General features: G+C 41.1%; 1 protein-coding gene and 1 long non-coding RNA gene across 14 annotated transcripts in view, besides 3 other annotated features; one reads left to right on the top strand and one right to left on the bottom strand.

Moving 5' to 3' along the window:
• Positions 1 to 295: 295 nt before the first annotated feature.
• On the bottom strand, positions 296 to 11,933 carry HEY2 (hes related family bHLH transcription factor with YRPW motif 2). Of its 3 annotated transcripts, XM_017010628.2 has the most exons (6): positions 11,706 to 11,933; positions 10,039 to 11,305; positions 9,686 to 9,764; positions 9,475 to 9,558; positions 7,019 to 7,100; positions 296 to 2,448 (listed from the first exon to the last, which is right to left on the bottom strand). In XM_017010628.2, the coding sequence occupies exons 3-6, from the start codon at positions 9,707 to 9,709 to the stop codon at positions 1,763 to 1,765; spliced, it is 876 nt and encodes a 291-aa protein (XP_016866117.1). In that variant the 5' UTR covers positions 9,710 to 9,764; positions 10,039 to 11,305; positions 11,706 to 11,933; the 3' UTR covers positions 296 to 1,762. The 3 variants fall into 3 exon arrangements, with proteins under 3 accessions (XP_016866117.1, NP_036391.1, XP_016866116.1); NM_012259.3 differs by lacking the exon at positions 10,039 to 11,305; XM_017010627.2 differs by lacking the exon at positions 11,706 to 11,933 and having other exon boundaries at positions 10,039 to 11,695.
• Positions 11,715 to 12,424: a silencer, noted in NCBI's record as "silent region_17519". NCBI's record gives its function as "represses an Ori minimal core promoter by ATAC-STARR-seq in GM12878 lymphoblastoid cells {active_cell/tissue: GM12878}" and the evidence as "EXISTENCE:reporter gene assay evidence [ECO:0000049][PMID:35858748]".
• The window catches only part of HEY2-AS1 (HEY2 antisense RNA 1), a 171,898-nt gene continuing 163,201 nt past the window's right edge, over positions 12,140 to 20,836 (top strand). For 5 of the 11 annotated variants that reach the window (NR_183500.1, NR_183498.1, NR_183499.1 and 2 more), the window contains exons 1-2: positions 15,943 to 15,980; positions 16,500 to 16,663. This is a non-coding gene — a long non-coding RNA (HEY2 antisense RNA 1). Of the gene's footprint in view, positions 12,738 to 15,942; positions 15,981 to 16,499; positions 16,664 to 20,836 lie in introns of those variants that run through there. The other 6 variants (NR_183490.1, NR_183495.1, NR_183493.1 and 3 more) reach the window with 3 other exon arrangements.
• Positions 13,599 to 13,778: a silencer, noted in NCBI's record as "silent region_17518". NCBI's record gives its function as "represses an Ori minimal core promoter by ATAC-STARR-seq in GM12878 lymphoblastoid cells {active_cell/tissue: GM12878}" and the evidence as "EXISTENCE:reporter gene assay evidence [ECO:0000049][PMID:35858748]".
• Positions 15,549 to 16,216: an enhancer, noted in NCBI's record as "NANOG-H3K27ac-H3K4me1 hESC enhancer chr6:126066495-126067162 (GRCh37/hg19 assembly coordinates)". NCBI's record gives its function as "activates a minimal SCP1, AML or CMV promoter by ChIP-STARR-seq in naive H9 embryonic stem cells {active_cell/tissue: H9 hESC(naive)}" and the evidence as "EXISTENCE:reporter gene assay evidence [ECO:0000049][PMID:30033119]".

Below are 20,836 nucleotides of genomic sequence, written 5' to 3'. Positions count from 1 at the left end.
TACCATTTGGAAGTCTTGAATTTGCACTTTGCCAAGAACTGTAGTTAAGAATAAAAGGCAGAGGAAACTGATTATTTCTTGCCTCCAAGTATCTTACTGCCTATGCTTAGTTTACAAGCTCAGATAAATGTTATTTTCAGGCAAGCTGTGAATTATATCAAATGATTTTGAAAGACATAAAGAAAAGCCATAGCTTGGATCGTTAGTAAATAAAGACCTCTTGAAATTCATGTTGACTTTCCACATAGAAAGTGGAAGGAAACTTTTCTGCAAAGCAACTCATCCACATAAAAAATAGTCAAAAAGGACTTCATTTAATTAGTGGTATGTAAAGACTCTTGCATAGAAAAAGGTTACAAAGTAATGCAAAAAAGACTAGGTACAGTAATTTCAAAACAAATATTTAAAAGTATAATTTTGCATAACGTTTAACATTCTCATAATGTTTATTGCTTTCTCCACACAGTAGAGAAATGAAGTGCATAATACATGCTGTGTCTCTTATCTTTTAAACAAAAACTCTCACGTGCTTGATTTCAGCATATTAAGAGATTATTTTGTCATTAAACGAAATCGAAAAAAACAAAACCACAACCCCATTACATAGCACTAGTTTAGGCATGGGCAAAAATAACTTATGTACATCCCATTGCATACATTCATCTTGTTTTGGGATCAAATGCAATCACTAACTTGACAAAGAGCTTTAAAAATTGTAGCTTTTCTCTTCCTAGTGCTCCCTCCTTGCTTCATCACCTCCAGAAATGTAACTTCTCCCAAAGGGTGACAAGAATAGATGTTGCATCATTAGGAGAAAATGAAGAGGATAAATATATAAAAATAGTCCTAATGAAACTGAATAAATTAAACCAAACTCCTACAAACTGGAGAGTTTTCAAGTTGGCATGAATTAAATAGCCTCTGGTGGACACATGGTAGGCAACTGCTCATAGGTGCACTATATAAATGTAAGGTTTATATAAAGCAGCACCATATTTTGAGCCATCCAAAAAAAAAAGTGCCTGGGGGCCTGCAGGCAGAGCAGAAATGCTTGTTAATCTGAGAACTGATGAAATAATTGCTTATACCAATGCACTGCTAAATGTCACCTCTTGGCATGTCTGTACAAAGAAGGCAAACTAAGATAAAACTAGATCTTTCAACTTGAAAATTATTTTCAGCAGTCATTTTGACCAGTAAAACCTGTTGGTTTCAGCAGAATACTCTTCTCTGGCATGGTATTAAAATGTCTGCAGCCTATTGCAAGACTTCTGTCCCTTTCCTTTCTTAACCTATCCTCCACACTCGTCTTCCCTTGTGCAATGTTATATATCCAGAAGAAAACTTCCTAAGCTCAGGCACTTACGAAACACGACTCTCTCACTCTCTCTCTATATATGTATGTCCCATCTAGTCTCAAGAGAATTCAGTCAGGGCATTTTACTTCCCCAATTCAGACATACTGATGCACTGCTGGATGGTACGGTCCATATATTTTCCAGGAAACTTCTAAATGGTAACAAGTGTGAAGTTTTCAAAAGTTGCTGATGTCAGTTACCGAGCTGCCTTGAACCAAACAAAAAAGGGAGAGAAAAAAAAGAGAATACCACATTTCCACTCGTGAGGTTTGTGTCTCAAATAGCTTTATTGTTCCTTTGTGGATCTGTCGGCATCTGTATGGCTACCTTCAGGGTGCAGAGGTTTTAAGCTGACTCTGAAATGGAGGACATTCAGTTACTATTGCAAGAAGTTCAAGAAAAATTTAAAAAGCTCCAACTTCTGTCCCCCAGGGTCGGTAAGGTTTATTGTTTGTTCCACTGCTGGTCTGCTGAGGACTGGACGTGGCTGATACTGACAAGGGCGGGCTGATGGCTGTGGCCGCGGCCACTGCTGCTGCTGCGTTTGGGGGAAGCATGGGGAATGCCCCCGCGAAGGACAGAGGGAAGCTGTGTGCAGCCGCGGTGGCTGCTGCGGCTGCGGCGTGGACGGTGGCAGAGAGGGACAAGAGAGAGGTGGAGAGAGGTGGCACGCAGGGGGCGACGCTGCCCGTGGATGGCATTCGGAGGGCTGAATCCGCATGGGCAAACGTGGCCGTGAGGAGAGCAGAGCCGTGGGCAGGAGGCACTTCTGAAGTTGTGGAGAGGCGACAAGGGGTTGACTCTGAGGCATGGAGGCCGTTGGGCTGGAGCAGGGCTGCGGGCAGGTGGTGGAAGGCGGCGGCCCAGTGATGCGGGTGGAGCGGATGATGGTGGTGGGCCATGGAGGATGTCATGGCCGCCGCCTCCCGCTGGGTGGCGCAAGTGCTGAGATGAGACACAAGCCGCACCCGCAGCGGATCCGAGGAGTCCAGGCCTTCCACGGAGCTCAGGTACCGCGCAACTTCTGTTAGGCACTCTCGGAATCCTATGCTCATGAAGTCCATGGCAAGAGCGTGTGCGTCAAAGTAGCCTAAAAGTGGGTTTGAGCAAAGTAGGGAACAGGAGAGAGATGGGCGGGAGGTAGGGGTGAGAAAATGGTATAGTCAACAATAACCACCCACTGATGTTCCACTCTGTCCTTCAGAAGACTGAAGTGGAACGATAATCCTTTCTGGAAATATTGCCAGCTATTTATGGTTTTAATTTTTTGCAGAAGTTAAGAAAGTATACTTTGCCACTCACATGTGTGACAACTCTGGCAATGCAATATGCTACAGTTGTTCTTGCAGCTAAATATCACAGTGGGGAAAAAAATTAAGAACATCCGCGTTTCAAACACTTCCAGAGAAAGAAATGGGGTCTCTCCCTTTGTATTGTGGGATAGTGAAATTCTCCAGGAAACTTTTTCATGGAAATACAGAGTTCCAGTCTCTCTGTCTCTGTCACATGAGTTGGAGATTAAAGGGCTTATCTGAAACATCTTTACTCTCTTGGCATTTTAACAGAGATGCCAAGTGCATCTTAGCAGCTTGAGGACTTTAGAAATGTGCTAGAATCGCAATAAATTCATAACTGCTTCTTGACTAACAATGTTTTTTATCAACAAAGTGAAACCATCTTGTCATAACTTTGTATAAAAAATTTAATGAAAACAAAATGAGTTTTTAAAAAAAATTTGGTTTCTTACTTGAAGATCTTATATTTCTGTCAGTAATATAAGGCTAAGTTCCTGATATGAAAATACTATATGTCAACGCCTAGTTTATCTGAAGTTCAAATATATGTCCTTACATTTTTCTAGCATACACCCAAGAAAAAAAATGTATATTAATTTTGTCAGTGTATATGCATGCACTCCTATACCTATGGTTACTACCATAAAAATGGCTAGAGCTTGGTCACATTTATCTGAGTCTCTGTCTGAAGATAATACATTAGAATAGAAAATAATAATGTCTAATTATTGGAGTGCCCATGTAGGGCATGTAGGGCACAATAATAATCAGACATATGGAGAAATGTTGCCCACTTTGAATGAGTGACGTCTGGTATATAAAAACAGATTATTTTTCATTTACAACTTTTTAAAAAGTAATTTCCAAATCAAAAGTTTGGTCTATTCATTTTGGGGATGTGTATATACATGAATAAGAAATATCACATTCAAATAAGGTTATTTATTAATTTATTTATCTTTGAGACAGGATTTCACTCTGTCACCCAGGCTGGAGTGCAGTGGCCCAATCACAGCTCACTGCAGGCTCCATCTCCTGGGGTTAAGTGATCTTCCTGCCTCAGCCTCCTGAGTAGCTGGGACTATAGGCATGTGCCACCACACTTGGCTAATCTGTGTGATTTTTAGTACAGACAAGATCTCGCTATGTTGCTCAGACTGGTCTAGACCTCCTGAACTCAAGCCATTCTCCTGCCTCGGCTTCCCAAAGTGCTGGGATTACAGGCGTGAGCCACCACACCCAGCAGTTATTTTTATCTAAAACATTTACATTATCTATGTTTTTGCTGATCAAAGCATTACCTGTTTATTCATCACCTATTAAAAATTTGGCTATCTTAATCTGTAATCAAAGAACTTTGGAGATAGTAGTCACATATATTAAGAGTCCTAAAGCTAAAATTCCAACGATTTGGAAGTTCCCAAAAGATATTTGTGGCAAATATATACACTACTAAAACAGAAACAACAGCAGTACAAAGCTGATACCAAGAGAATATCATGAAATACGGAAGATCAGCAGCAAAAACAGTTATCATCCCAGGACTCTGACATAGTTAACAAACAGAGCCTCTTGGATTAGGATGAAAAGCTATTCCTGAAGAAGAGGTATTCATGGAAAGATTTCACATTTTGGTCCTCAGGGTTCTGTAGGGCTTTGCAGACTTCTGACTCCCATGAGAGAAAGACGGGGGTAATGAATAGAATAGACAGAGTCCAGAAATCCAGAGGGATTTCGAAACTTAGGTTATTCTACTAAATCCTCTCTAGATACTATTGTCATACCAAGACAGACTATAAAGAATGAACTAACAGAATTGGAGCCCCAAGAGCTTCTAAGAATTTTCATTACTGGTCATGAAGTAATTGAAATTTGTGGTTTGCCTGCTATGTTGTCATATATGGCTGAGCTCTCTGTTATATCTTAAAGGAATATAAATTATGCAATTCCTATCCTATTGTGGACTTCAGAGGGAAATGATGATAAGTAGCTCCCTTTTGTGAATGGATCTTGGGCCAACAGTAACATACATGTCCATACCACTCCCTCTACACCAGCACTATTCTATCGGCCTTAAGTGAATTAACTTGTAACAGCCTTATGAGTTATATAGTATGGACACTACAACTGTCCTCTTTTTACAGATGATAAAACTGGACCAGCTCGCAGGGGGTAATTTGCCCAAAGTCACAGAGCTAATCAGTGGCAGAACCAGGATTTGAAATCAGGCAATCCAGCTACAGATACGATGCCCTTCACCACTGCACTATGAGGCAGTTGGTATTCTTTTACAATGTTAACCCAAACAGCCAGCTCCCTTCTTTTTATTTTTTCTATTTTTTTTGAGATGGAGTTTCACTCTTATTGCCCAGGCTGGAGTGCAATGGCGCGATCTCGGCTCACCACAACCTCTGCCTCCCGGGTTCAAGCAATTCTCCTGCCTCAGCCTCCTGAGTAGCTGGGATTACAGGCATGCACCACCATGCCCAGCTAATTTTGTATTTTTAGTAGAAACGGGATTTCTCCATGTTGGTCAGGCTGGTCTGAAACTCTGGACCTCAGGTGATCCGCCCACCTCGGCCTCCCAAAGTGCTGGGATTACAGGCATGAGCCACCACACCCAGCCGCCAGCTCCCTTCTTGAAGGCCATTCTCCAGTGCAATGACCTCTTCAATGGCCTGACAGTCAGGTGACGTGTATGGAGCCTACTTGGAAATATCTGTTCACAAACTATTCTGGGACAAATTTTAGGACTGTCTAGGTGGCCAAGAATAGCAACCAAGATGGAACTTAGTTTTTATAATAAAGCCTAAGAACAATATTACTCTTTAGAAGTACAGCTCATGCCAAATATTTGAAACCCTAATGAGAAAACTTAGCCTTGTGGCTAACAATGCTAAGGGAAGTAAAGCAATCAAACAAATTTTCTTGTAGCATGACTAATTCAATCAGTATCCTAACATCCTGAGGTAGCAGTTGTAGAGACAGAATCATGGAGCTGCAGGGGCCCTTGGCGCTCATGCTGCTAGTGTAGCCCTCAAAGTGCAGCCCAGACTTTTTTCTTAGGTCAGAGGCACAGCAGTGGTCAAGCTAGGCTGGATCATTGGCTTCTGTGATTTAATCCAGTTATCTTTTCTATTATGTAAGAATGTTTGCATTTCATGCCATCATTCAGGATGGTTCCTTGAGAAGGTACAATCTGGGAAAAGTCAACCCATTGGGGCTTCTCTGTACAATGGTTACCCTCCCTCCCTACTAGACGCAGGAAAAAGATGGTTAAGATCAGGGCTGATGTTCTAGAGATCCTCAATGGTATGGCCATACAGGAGTTAAATATTGGTAACAGTTGCTTCCCTCCAATGTCCTGCCTCTGCCCTGATCTAGGACCCGTATACAGTGTAGTAAAAGGTTAATGCTGAGCACCGGGAGGCCTTCAGGATTTAGTTGGAGCCCTTAAATCCTTCTGATACCTTCTCCTTATTCAGTTGTTAAATATACTGAATAACACCCTTGGCTAAGGTGAATATCAAAGGATTCTTTGAAGGATGAAAAAGATTCAGAGGAACAAAATCAAGTCTGAGTTGTGATGTGTAAGTGGGATAATGAAATCTGAGTGAACTAGGATCTCAAGGCTGTTTTTAGCATGAGATGAGATCCTCTCTCACCACCTCGACAATTACTCCCTAAGTCACTATCCAGTACAGAGGACACCTCTCTAGGGCCCTGGACCTGGAGTGCCTGCTCCTGTTTGCTTTCCCCAAGAATGACTCTGCTCCATTAATGGCTTCTGGTGTAGAGACTTCCTACCTGCACTTCAACTGTTCTGTTTGGTCTAAATTCAAGACCAAGCAAAAATCTGAAAACAATAATGAAAATAACTCTAGAGTCAATTCCTTTGGAATAGCTGAATTATTTTCAGTCTTAGCCTTCATTTAATGAAGACAGAGGAGGAGAAGGAGTAGGAAGAAAGAAGCAGAAGGAGGAGAAAAGGATTACCTCTAACCTCCTGTTTATGTTTGGATGTTTGTGTGTTTGTTTTTTGTTCTTTCTGTACAGATTCCAGCATGCGCTTCTTAAGTCCTAAACAAATCTCTGACCAGGCTGCTGTGAATGAAGCTTTACTCCCACAGTATTATGAAAGCAAACACAAGCCCAGGGTCAAGTGCTTCTTTTGTTCCAAAAGTTCTTTCCCACGAGTTCAATCCTGCCATTAGCATTGATTTCCATGGCTTTAATCTGGGGCCTCCTATCTCAGCTTGTTAAAGAACTGTTCAGCTATGACTTCCTTACAATATTAGGGGGAATAACATGAAAAGAGAAAGGTAAAAAAGGCAAAAAAAAAAAAAAATGAAGTCATCTACTTACCTTTACCCCCTGTTGCCTGAAGCATCTTCAAATGATCCACTGTCATTTGCAATATTTCAGCTTTTTCTAACTTTGCAGATCCCTTCATAAATAAATAAATAAATAAATAATCCTATGTCCTACAGAAACTAATCTGAAACATTATACACTGAATTTAGCATTATGGCTTCAATTTCCCTCTCACTAGACAATCCCAACTTTTATTTTTTCACAGAAAACTTCGAATTCTTTCCAAACTTTACATGAAAGCACTAATTAATGTCATACCTAATGACAAGTATTTGCCATTTTAACTTTTAAAGACTAAAAGAAACTAGAATGACTTTTTTAAATCATAAGAATAATTATTCTCCTAAGATCACCACAGCAAAATGATTTCAGTTGTAAAAATCTCAAACTTTGCATTCAATCTGTGTCTTGGTTAATAATATGTTTTACTATGGGGCATCAATAGTCTTCTATAAAGCCAAAGTCTAGAGGAGTTGCATAACAACTCCAGAAGATAAGGAGATAGGATTTTAGCAATTGATTGTTAAATATTTTTAAAATAGAAAACTCCAATAAGTCCTTTCACAGGCCTACTAAGTCCTGAAATAAGGTATTCACACTAGAACCATATAATTGGATCTGCATTTCAAGCAGATCCAAAAATTTTAAAAAGGACGACTTTTAAGGTTTTTTTCCCCAATAATTACCAGCAGGTGTCACTGTGAATTTCTAAGCTCACAAACAAGAAGCAATAATTTACTGCTTACCTAGGAAGCATCATAAATGCTTAAGGATTTTTGAACCTTTTAAAATAGTTCTTAATAAAATTGTCTTGCAAATATATTTTTATGTCCCTGCTTTCAGAATAAGGAAACCTCTGGTAACCAATTGAAATACAAATGTGCCATTTCAAGCTGTCTCGGGGACTGTGGGTGGCTTCTCATTTCCTGGAAGAGCTAAATAATTACCAATATGTTCTCTTTTTTTTTCTTTTTTAAGGACACTAAGGTTTATTTCAGGTCCCTATGCTTTACTTGTTTTGTAAAAATTATCAGCACCACGTACGGTGAGAGTGCCAGAGTTACTTAACTGCTCTAAAGAACACTTTTCTAATCATATTGTGACAGGGCCAACTCACTTGGGTTGGTAGCCAAGCTCTGCAAATGGGAAAGCTTGTGTTTATGGTAACTAACTGCCAAACAACTGATGTTTGCTTTTAAGGTTTAAGTCAACATTTAAGAAAAAAAAAATCTAACAAACCAAGAAAAAAAATCAAACAGACTTCGCCTCATAACTGCAGACATTTCAGTACTTCCAAATTTTAAAAACATCATTGATTACTGACATTTTCACTTGAAGCCTATTTGGCACTGAAAATGCTACTAATCAAAACTACAATTTCCACATTATTTTTAGTTTATCAAACACAGTCTCTGCATATAGATTGGGTGTGCTTTTTGTCTTAAAAATGTATAATCAGTAGCATATTATGTTTTGTATTTGGTCAGCGTTTAATTTTTCCATGAAAATGGTACAAGCAGATTCAGTAAAGTCACTAATAATTGAAACTGCACTTTCTGGATAATTTCCAAGGACTTTGTAGGGCTTGTTTTATAATGTTTGCAGATTCATGAAGTAAACAAACAAAATGGAATAAACAAACAACTGTTGTCTTATTGGAATTAAACTGAAAGTATTTTCAACAAGGACATGCTGCCATATCCTTTGAAAGATACTCTTAGAAATCTGTGTCATTAACCACTGCGGCAGGGGGAGAGCCATGACTTCTAAAACCACAAAAGATTTAAACATTTGGCTTTCTACTTTTCTAAGTGTGCAAAATCTTTTTCTTTCTTTCTTTTTTTGTAAAGGAATAGGTAACTATGAAAAGGGGCATTTATGATTAACTTCATTTTTACCAAACTTCTAAAAAGATGACCCAAATCAAATGGCATTCTACCAACCCAGGGATTAAAAATGAAAGCAAATGGCTTGGTAAATAAATTTTAGTGGTATTATCATTTAGGAAATAGAGCTAGAGATGTTACTTCTTGGGCTCTGATTGTTTTTTAATTAAAAATATTACATTTTAAAAAAATTTTGAGAAAAAAATGGTTTTTTTTTTTTTTTTGAAGGATACGGTATACAGCACAGTTTTAAATAAAACCACTACTGGTATTCATAGAAAGAACAGAGAAAGCATGAACACTGTTACCCTTAAGGGGAAAATAAGCTAAAGAATGGAAATGTTTTTCAACTTCATGATGGATTATGTTTTTAATAGTTTTGCCACAACAAAGCATTTTATTGAAATAGCTGCTCTGTGCCAGATCAGGGCACATACACTATTATTTTAATGAGCTTTAACAAGAACCCACATTCCCAGATGAGCGAATCAGATTGTGTTTGAGCTTTTTTTTGGGGGGTGGCGGGGTGGGTGGGGGGATTCTGGGGAGGGGATAGCTTACTTGTTTTTCAAAAGCAGTTGGCACAAGTCTTCTCAACTCAGATAAACTGTTATTTATCCGATCCCGACGCCTTTTCTCTATAATCTATCCAAAAGAAGCAAACAACAAAAGTTTATGAATTCACAAATGATAAAATTACTCAAATGAAAAAATGTAACTGTTACACAATAGTATAAGTTACATGAAATAAAAAGGGGGAAAAATCACATACCCCTCTCCTTTTCTTTCTTGCCATAATCTGAGATGTTGTTGTTGGAGAATTCAATCTAATCACAGAGCTAGTACTTTGCCTATGAAATAAGAAGAGTATGTCAGGTGCTGCATTAACATAACAATAGTTTCTTCTGGGTACTTGTGGCACCCATTAAATATTCAGAGTGATTGCACAGTTCAAGTCTGTGTTATTTTATTCTTAGTTCTTGTTTCACTCTTAACGGACTTTGCTTTCAGCCCGGCTGTCTCTTTTCAGGTAAAAATTACGCCTTAATTTGTAATCCAGATGCTAACCCATTGGCCAAAATGTCCCACAATTTTTACTTGAAAGTCTCCCAGTGAAATAATTACCGGCAGTTGGGCTGAGAAGTTAGATATTAGCATTTCCTAGTTCCACTCATATATTTTAAAGTCAACTAATCTCAAATAGCTTTCCTTCTCCCTCCTGTCAGGCACACTGAACAAAATAATGCCACTTTTTCAAATCAGGGTTATGTTAAGCACCACTATCAAACAGATGTGCAGTCGTCATACGTCAAACTCTTGTCTCTAGGTGCAAACTTTAAAATAAATAGAAGTTATCTTACTGTTTCAAAACTTCAGTTAGTCATATATTGCAACAGGAAAAAATTGACAAACTTGATGTTTTGCATACTAATCTTCCAAAAATATGCCCTAAATATGCCACTGATAGGAAAATTAAAACTCATTTTATTACTAGGTGAATGTTTTACTTTGAAAATGAAACTGTAGGTGTGTCTCAGACTTTAGGCTAAGCTTAAATCTCCAGAAGCTGCAATGCACCTTGGATTTACTAATGAAAATATATTTTTATATTGAAGGTTCAATCAAAGTATTATTTGGTCACATAATTTTTACAATCCTTTCTAGTTTGTATCTGTTTCTCTTCATAATTCATGGATACTATGCTTCTTTGTGTTCTCAAATTCCCCAGGTTCCTGTTATTTGTTCTCTTTCATTTTAGAAATGCTGCACACACCAGGTTGCTATTACCTCACCTTCTCACTTCTGGATCTTATTTCTGAATTACCTGTCCCCCTCATTTTCACCCCTTCTTTACGGGTTTCACCTTTCACGTGATAGCTTCTGTTTTTCAGACCTCATTTTTAAAGACGGCACAACAACACTTTAATGATCAGATACTTAAACCTTTGCTTTCGTGTAAATATCTTTGCTCTTGCAGATTTTGTGCTTTGCTTTGTATGTATTAGAATAACAATATGAAAGAAAACCAGTTTTCCAAAGGTAGGAAGAATTTCCCTCTTTGAGTGACAGCTGCAGATAAATAATTAAGGTGCTTCTGGGGATGCCAATTAGAAGCAATTATCATTTGACCCGCCTTGGCTCTAAAATGCCTCGGTAATCTCCCTCTGTCACAGGAAAGTGGAGGTCTGGCTTCTGTGATTACGACGCCGATCTCTTCCAGACTTGAGAACAAGCAGTCAAAGAAATGATGCCCTTTCCGATGCTTACATCTGTCACTCACTCTTGCGTTAGCCAAGTCACACACGGTCAACCTGCAAAGTTCAACCTACGTAGCCTTGACATCGCAGGTTGCTTTAATTCCTCCAAAAATCAAGTTGTGATTTTGGTATCTCTAAAAATCAAAAATCAAATTGTTTTTATTTTCTCCTGATCTATTTTGAAAGTGCCCCCAAATACGGTTTCAGTGGCTGGGACATCGCCTGTCGCCCAGACGCTGCCGTTCGCGCGTCCAACTGTGACAGCCAGGACCCTCCCTCGCCAACTCCTGCGCTCTGCCTTTCAGTGGCGTCTCCCATCCTGGCTACTCCACCCCTACGGTGAAAATCCACATCCCTTGCCCCATCCCAACTCACGCTCTGCGAGCGCCCACCACTCAAACTTTCTCAGGCCAAACTTTCCCTCTCTACCTAGATGCTGCGGAGACCAGCCTCGGGATTTCCAGGGAGCCACGCATTCACAAAGCTACCCCAAGCTCCCGAGCTGCGGGCCGCTCCCGCGGAGCCCGCGCTCACCCCGAGTAATTGTTCTCGCTCCCCACGTCGATGGTCTCGTCCATGTCGCTCTCGGAGGTCGTCTCCTCGCAGGGGCGCTTCATCCCGGCGAAGACCGCGCGGGGCACAGCCCGGCCGGAAGCTCGGACGCCGAGCGGGGCGCAGCACCCTGACGCCCGCCTCCTCCCTCCCCGGGCCTGGGCAGGCGCGGCTCCGGCGGCGGCGCGGTCTGCTCCTAGCGGCTCTTTCCCACGCCGCAACTCTGCTCGGCCGCAAGAGCCGGCGCCGGCCACGCCCCCCCCTCGAGCGGGTGGGGCCACCTCACCCGCCCCCGCGCACCGGCCCAGGCCTTCCGCCCGGCACCTCCCCCTCGCTGGTCGGCGTGGCTCGCGATTGGCTGGGCCAGGGGGCGGGGCCGCGCTCGCCAATGCCCGCCGCAAGGCTCCAGCCGAGGCGTGGGAACGCGGCCGCGGACCTGGTACCCCAGAGCAGCGAGCGGGTGGGGAGCAGCCGGGGCGAGAATGAGCGCAATCTTGCTAACCCCTGCGGAGGGAGCGCGCGGGCGCCAACGCGGGCGCGCGGGGGCGGGCCCTGGACCTGGACCTTGGGTTTCGGCCCTCCTCCGCGCCCCGCGGTCTCGCGGGCGAAGTTTCAGTCCTGAGTGTAAAGAATAACCCCAAGCGCGTGGCTAAGTGCGAGCAGGCGCGTGTGACGTCGGGAGGCGCCGCGGCTCCTCGGCCGCCCCACTCGGTGGTCCCCTGTCTGGATCCAAACTGCTGACTGGCTGACCCGAGTGGTCACATTTGCCCTCTGGGGCTTTTGAAAACCTTAAATCAAAATTGCTTTTGAATCTGACAACTCCTGAGGCTACTTTCGCGGCCTCGGGGCTGTTTCATATAAGGACGCGAGTTTTCCTGATCAGGTCTGTCGGCCACGTTACGATTTCCAATTTGCGATCCATCAGTTACTTCCATTGGGTCTTCAGCCCCCAGGGACTGTGGATCCTAGACCCCGCGGAGAAGCCCGTGGACTGGAGCTGTGTCAGCTCTGATGGTAGGAAAGACTAGATCAATGACGCGGGCATTTCAGGACATAATCGTATATTTTCAAGTTCGAGTTTTTCGGGCTTGGATTATCCAGATAATTGCCTCCAGTCTCCTCCAGTCCCCCTGGTGTATGCACTCGCAGCCGCAGAGTTAGAGTCCGGGAGGTGAAGATTGGCGCTTGGAAATTAGATTTGGTTTCTAAAGTATGAATTCGTGTCCAACAGTTCGTGCCTTGGACAACGTGGGTTGTATAAAACTCAAGCTGTGTGTTTAAAACAGGTTTTCTAGCTGCTGGTTCTCTCCAAGTTATGTAGGACTTTTGAACTGGCCACCCCGCTGTGCGTCTGCGAGGGCAGGGACTGAGCGAGACCCAGCCAGGGGCGCCGGGAGACTGGCGGCGGCTGGGTTGGGGTCCAGCCGGAAACCACACGTTGGCAGGGCCGCTTGGTCAGTAGTGGAGAGAGCCTCTGAGAAAGGGCCGTCTATCGATCCCCAGACCCCTCCGTCACGGAGGGATTCATAGCTTCCTGGGGATCGGCCCAGGGCGTCCCTTTGACACTCCGTTCTCTGTCCACACAAGCCCGGCGCGGGGCGGGGAGAAGAGGAAAGGACGCGACTGGGAAAGACGGGACCCTGGCGGGGTTTGGCCCGGGGGAGAGCGGGAAGGAGCCCGGTCGGCGCGGAGGACCTGCGGCCAGCGTGCTAAGCCCTTATTAGAACAGAAACCCCTTTCCCCCCACACTCTCATCTCTTTTGCGCGGTCCCCACCGCCATGCCTTCAATAACCTTGTGAATAGAAACCCGAATCGTTCCATCTTGGCTTCTGAAACTTAACCCCAGGCAAAGCACACACTCGGCGGGGCCAGGTGGGGCTGGATGGGGTCCGCGCCCGACGGCGGGGCCGCGGGGGTCGGTGAACCCCAGCTCCCCTGTCGGCCTCAGGGCGGATGGCTGGGTCGGCGCGGGGTTCGGGGCCTCCGATCGGCTGCACGAGGGCGGGCCAGGACCCAGACCCCGTCCCCGCTCCGGCCCCGCAATCCAGCGGGTGACGAGCCTGACGCGCGCCGGTCGCCTGCCACCTCCCGCCCCGAGCGCCCTGGGCCAGTACCTCCCGGCCGCAGGTGAACGCTCCGCGGCCCGCCAGGCTCAAGCTCGACCGTCACAACTTTCCGTGAGGGCTGCACGTTTTTCTGAATTCAAATGCCTGCAGGTGCAACTCATGTTTGCCACACGGGCAATTAGCGGGCGCGTCCAAACGCCTGAGGCAAAACCTGAGATCATCACTGAAAAAAAAAAATCTAACAGTTCTTTGCCACTATACTAGTGTATTTAATTATGATTGCGAAAAATTGCAGAGGGAAACGATTTGCTGGCAATTAAGTAGCAACTGGTTAAAGTTTTTTTTCAATTTGTCTTTGAAGACAACTGCTGTACTATGTATAAAGAAGAGTATAGCAGGGAAGTTCGAAAGCACACACGGAATTTTAAATCTGTTAAAAATATTTTTTAAGCAAAGAAGGTGGTATTTTAAAAGCATTTAAAACAGCGCCTGGTATATAGTAAGCGCCATAGAAGTCTGTTAAGAATGCATAGGGCAAGAGAGCTCAGGGTTTTGAACGCTATCAAAATAATATGCTTATTTATCTGCAAAACACAATAGCAATTAGGCAGCACGAGATTTCCCCATTAGGTCGTTTATTCTCCTCAGCTGTTTATTCCATTTGCCTGTCCCTTGGTTGAGCGCCTTGTCTGTCTATAACCGAAAGTGCGTTTCGGGTCAGAGAGACAGAAACAGACACAGGAAACCCTTTAAAGCGCCCCCGCCGACTTAAATACGGTAGTGGATTGGAGGTGGGGAGGTGTAGGGGAGGCGTTATGTGGAGAGAAAGAAAAGAGAAAGAATGAGGGAACGGCGGGATTTCAAGCCTCCCCGCCCTTCTGCGACAACCTTTTCAGCGAAAGGGAAGGCTTAGGAAGAAAAGATGTCCGCGCGTAGAGCAAACCGCAGTTCTTTCCTTTCTTTTTGAAGGATTTGTACCATGAGTTAATTACACCAAAAGATACGAGGGACTTTATTAGAAAGGAGATGCCGTTAGGAAAGAAAGGCCAGGACGGCCGATCTAAAGGGAATGGAGAAGGGAAGACTCAGACGCCCTCCCGAAATTGGTGGTCTAGCCTGTGTTTTGTGCTAAATGTTATTTAACTTAATGGCGTGGGAGTGAGATGTTGAATGCAGAGATCTGGAAATACCAGATTTAGTGGTCCTGTTCCTCCTCCCCGACTCTTTTCACACCCATTTAATAAAAAGTTACAGTTTTTACACCCGTATTGATAAATTTGGCGATGTTGGCCAAGTATTATCTCGCCCCGCAGATTTTGAATTTTGTTGCACAAACCGATGAAATGATTGCTTTGCTATAATTGTAAAACTTTTTTGGAACGAACCTGGATTTTTTTTATGCCTCTTCATCTACTTTTTGCTTCATTAGAGCCCTCTGGTTTTCCAAGATCGACTGTCACACTTTGTTATTTGTTGCTTCTCTAAATCCTTTGAGATGCTGCTCGCAGCTACGTAAAAAACGTTGGCCACTCAGGTATTTGATGGGCTTAGAAAGTCACCAAGATGTGACACCATTTAAAAGTTTTAGCTTGGTTTCTCAGTGAAATAAGGGCATCTCTGTTAATTAGAAAACTTTGTGTTAGTCTGAGATGCCTAAGAGCATAGTCCAAATTGAAAATTCCAATATTTTGCCACATCTGAAATATAATTATTTACACAGCCTTCTCTTTCAAAGGGAGGACAAACAGGTTGCCTTGAGAAGAGCTATTCTATTTGCAATTGCTGGGGCAGGTGACAAACACGTGTGTATCTGTGGGCAGCCTTGTTGGGCTGCCTTCCCTGACTACAAGGCTTTTGTGAGCTGGTAACGCCTTAAAATGTGTGAGAATGCTGCGCCCTAGGAGTGGAGGCCAAGGGCAAGATCCTTGTACATTTCAATACCTTTTCCAACATCAGGCTGGCAGCAGGCAGGCCAACCTAGGGTCACTGTGTGACACATATTTGCAAGCCAGTAAAGCAAAACAAAGCTGAAAGCAAGTGCAAATTTAGGCCCACCAACCTTGAAGTCATCCCTGAAAGGGAGCTGCTTTACTAGTTAATTTTTCTTGCCCAGTCAGCCACACAAAATGCATTGTATTTCTTGGCTTGCCCCAGTAATTGCGACTTACTTGTTACAGCAGAAGCTTCAAGGTAGGAAATCTATGACCCAAAGCTCTCTCTCGAAAGTTAGAATGTTTAAACTGATCTTTAAAACTGTTGTTGAGGGGCAATTTATTTAAAAGCTTTTATTTTATGGTGTTGTTAGTGCTTAGCATGCCTCAGGATAAAGACTAGTTTTATTGCAGGACCCTTGAGAAGAGGGGTGTATAGCAAGTAACCAGTTTTCCGTGTGCCAGTAAGCAACAGTGAGAACACTCAGTGTATTAGCTTAACTTTTTGTGGGAGTTAAATTGATGTTGGCAGGCTTTGCCTTTAAGGAAGTTCTTTTAAATTTCCATTTTCTTGAAGTTGGTTTGATTGGCAGATTTCCCCCCTCTCTTAAGGATACAATGAAACATATTCACTTCTCTTATGAAAATATTCTTTTAATAAACTACATTCCCATCCCCTAGAAAAATGCCCAGCACACAGTAGGGGTACAATAAATGGTTTCAGATTAATTTCTTGTTAAAATTAATGAACTCTCTGCTTCTTTACTTGTATATGTAGAATTTACACTCATTGGAATAATAAAATAGAAGTAAGCAACCGTGCATTAAAAAGCTATGAAAAGATGAAGAGAATATGCCTTCAAATGGGAAGGAATACTTAACTGTGAATAAGACCTAGTTCAACATGGAACTTCCTGGTGGCCAAGTCAGAAGAGAAGCACAGTGAGTTTTCTAACTTTCATAATGAGAAAAGAGAAAGCACACTGTTTTTCAAAAAAGAAAGTTATTACCCAGTCACTGAATTCTAAAAGAACTTCATGCTTGCCTTGTTCATGGACTTCAAATAATTTAATTATTTAAAATAATTATTTTGTCTAAAATTCTCATGTGTCTCTGTTAATTATAACATGAATAATAGCATTTACATTATGCATAAATGAAGACAATAGTATATCTTCTAATAGCTGTATAAACCATCTACTAAGCTGTCAAGATTAATTGACATTAATAAAACCACTGTCTCACAGAGTTCCAAAAATATGGATTCTCTGTAAGAAAGTTTCTTCTTTCAGTGTCAGAAGAAAAAATTAAAGATTCCTGGATCTGCTTGTTTGGCATTATTTGATAAAAGTGAAAGAAAAGAAGAGGCTCTACAGGTTTCTGAAATATCAAATGCTGTGGAAATATTTAAGGCTAAATGTCTTTTCCACTAGACTACAAATAACAGCTATATTTTCTCAACACTTTTATTGAAATATTTTTATTAGATGTGTGCACATTTTTGCCCTTATCTGATTATTTTAAAATTGGCAGGTGACTTTCTGGGGAAAAAACCTTCATAGACTGGAAATAAGGAATTGCTAATTTTAGATTTACTGTGGAAAAAAATACAGGCTATTTTTAGACCTCCATATTTTACAAACTTATTGAAATATATACTTTACAAGAAACAGAAACATAGCAGTTTTTTTCCCTAGACGGGACTGGATTGATTCTACTAGAGAAGAATTTGACTACATTTTTCTGGATTTAGCCTTCAAAATAATTTAATAATATATTAGTATATTGAGAATATTGGACTGAAAATTTTTAGAGACCGATTTTGGTTTTGAATAGTAGCTCCTTACATTTCTGGGACATGAATACTTCAAAGAAACGAATAGTTTCTTGAGGAATTGCAGTATTCATTAGGGCAACACAATCTCTTTGGAAACCAAATGTCATGCTGCTTAGCAGAGAACAACCATGCTCAACTGCACAGTGGAGAAGGGCAGTGTACTGTGCCTTGAATATGGAAGAAAGGGACACTGTACATTTCCACAGCACTTTTAATCTGAGAATCCTAGGTCATTATTGAATCATGTATCAAAACTCACAGCGCTGCAGGATTTACTTGTCAAGGCTGGCTAGCAGGATTTTGCTAGAATAACAGTTGTAATGGGAACATTAATAAAGCCTGAAAATAGAAGACAAAATATGAATAGAAAATAGAAGACAAATATAAATGATGTATGTGGGTATATACTTGTCTGTCTGTCTATAGATGTAAAAGGCAGAAAATAATGAACGGTTTTATAATTAACATGACTTGTTAGTATATGAAGGACTAGGGTAATATCTGTCAGAAGACAGTAGTTCAAGTCAGAGAGGAAAATGCTGCATTTTGTAATTAAACCACCATTTGCAAAACAGAGTTTATATATTATATGTATTTGCATATTTTCTCTATTTTTGAAAATTGCATTCACTTTATTTCAGTTTATTTTATGTTTTGTCGATTCTATTGTCTGTGTTTTAAATAACTTTCTTTATGCAGTTTTTAAAATGTAGACCTTTAGAAAAACAGACTAGTATTTTAAACCTCTTGGTGTGATGGAAATAAAATTTTTATACTAAAGGGTTGGGAGAATGATTTTCTCTGATGTTCAGGTAGTACACCTGAAAAATCATGTCCTCTTTGCATGGACCCATGAAATATTGCTAAATTAGATAGTATACTTGTGAACATAGATTCTAGTTGAGATGAAAAAGGCTCAATTCAAATTTTAACGTTTTAATCATAAATTTATTTCTGTGCAATGTGAATTGGAAAAAGAATGTCCATTCTTTAATTTGATAATGAACACTTTGTTGTTATTCAAAAATGTAGTTTGAGAACTAATAGGAACATCATAGTGGGGACTACTTAAACAGAACTGTGGGAGAAATGATCAGAAAATGAAACCAAAGAGCTATGGACAGAGATAACTGACAAACTGTTAGTGTGTGCACTTGAAAGTGATAAGACTAATTTTCATTAATCATGGCTTGATTTTTCAGACTGTACCTCTCTTCATTCATTCATTCTCATTTCCATGCCACTAAAATATTGAACACCTACCTACGTTGAGCAATACTGTCTGCTAAGTAGTGTGGTGGTACCTGGTGAGCAAGATTTAATTCCTGCTCAGGAAATAGCAGGGAAAATAATACGGGAGTCTAAACAAACAACTGTTAGACAAGATAAGATGTGTTCAAGGCCAAAGTAAACAGCAGACTACATGCCATCGGCACAAAGAGAGAGAAGGTTCCTTTTTAAAGGAGAGTTCAGCAGTGATAGCTCCAAACTTTTTGTATAGAATTAGAGGCAGCAATCCTGTTGGAGGGCCGGGAGTGGCCCAAGGATTTTTGTTGCCAAACTCCATTTATATAACAAACACACTATTTTTACTTAGATATTACATTTATTGGAATATCTTTCTATTGTTCTTAAACTTTATAGGTATCTAACATCTAATCTGTTCTTTGGTGCAATTATGGGGTTAAGGGGAAAAGTGGCCTTGAGCAGGGCCTTGAAGGATATACCAAATAGCTACAATTGTAAGTAGACTTTCTTGGAGAGGGACCAGCATTTACAAAGAGACACAGAAGCTGAAGAGTGCATGTGATTCTTAGGGAAAGATGGATTATTCTTAGTTGGAATGAGGGGAATGGAAGGAAAGAGCAGGAGAGAGTTGTCTTGGGAAAATGAATTAGGCTATAGGCAAATCATGGAGGAGCTTGCGTTCTGAGCAGGGTATCTTCTTGAAGTTATTTGAGAGCCACCGGAGGTTTTTAAGAGAAGTGACAGGTTCACAGCTATTAATTCATTAGATATGCTTGTTCAATCTAGCCAAGTTTCTTTCTTTTTCTAGTTGTCACTAAATCAAATTGAAAACATTACAGTAACAGAAAAATTCCAGGACAATTTGCATTGGTAAATGGAATTTTTGATATTTTTTGTTTCTCAGTGCAAGCCATTTGGCCATTACAATAGCATTGTTAGGTAGGACTGTTGGCTCAGCACTTGGGAAGCTCATTGCTTTTAATTGGGTTGCTTGGGTTTATTTAATATGACCAAATTTATATGAAAAAAAAAAAAACATGTACACTGCCTACTTGGTGGAGTAGTCAAATAATTATGCCAGGACTTGCACATCAGCTTTTACAGATTTATTTTAAAATCCGCCATGTCATAATTAAAATCAGAACATGGTTATATTCTCAGTGATTAAGAGAACTTTCTAAAGTGAGATTTTCAGTTTCACTGACTTCAAAGTAACACATAGTACATTAACACTGCTGGGTATCTGGGACTTACTCAGATTAAATACTTTCAGTGAAAGATTGAGCCATGATTCTTTCCTGCTACTTTCTTATTGAAAGAACTAGGTTACTGTTATCTTTCTACAGGGTGCCATAAATAAATGTTTAAGGATTTTAAAACTCAGGGGTCATTTAACTATTTTTAGTCACATAAAGTTACGCCCTTCCCTGAAAGGCCTTGTTGAAATGGAGGTAACTTGCATTTAAATATTGAATATTCAATCAATAATTAAAGTGATGTTTAATAAGGAAATGCAAGACAGCCTTAAATGGTAATTTTAAGTACCCCTTTCATAGATGAGAAAAAATAAGATAAAAATAAGGCCTCTATTAGTCAATACAAGTTAATCAGGGAGCATTCTCGTTGAATTAGAGAGGGTATTTTGCAGCACTGAGAAATTCTTGTCAGAAATTACCTTACTTCCAGCTTTATCCATTGATCAACCATTTATTGAGCTCTTTAGGGAATTCAAACGCAATACAACATGCGATTATTGCCCTTGGGGGGATTTAATATCTAGCGAATACATTAATAATGATCATCATAGATCCCCTTTATCTAGTGCTTGCTATGTGTCTGACACTTTTTAAATCCACAAAGCACCACGTAGATTAATTTATTTAATCTTCACTAGAACAACCTAAGGTAGGTACAGTCATTACCTTTATTTTACTGGTGACGAATCAGACCCTGTGAAGGTAAGTAGTTCATTGGTATTAAAGGGTAGAGTCAGGTTCCACCAAGGGAATCTAACTATGAGCCAGTGCTCC

This window comes from Homo sapiens, chromosome 6 (genome assembly GCF_000001405.40).
Source record: "Homo sapiens chromosome 6, GRCh38.p14 Primary Assembly".
NCBI lineage: Eukaryota > Metazoa > Chordata > Mammalia > Primates > Hominidae > Homo > Homo sapiens.
Note: the sequence above shows the minus strand (reverse complement) of the source record. Positions and strands in the feature narration are given on the sequence as shown.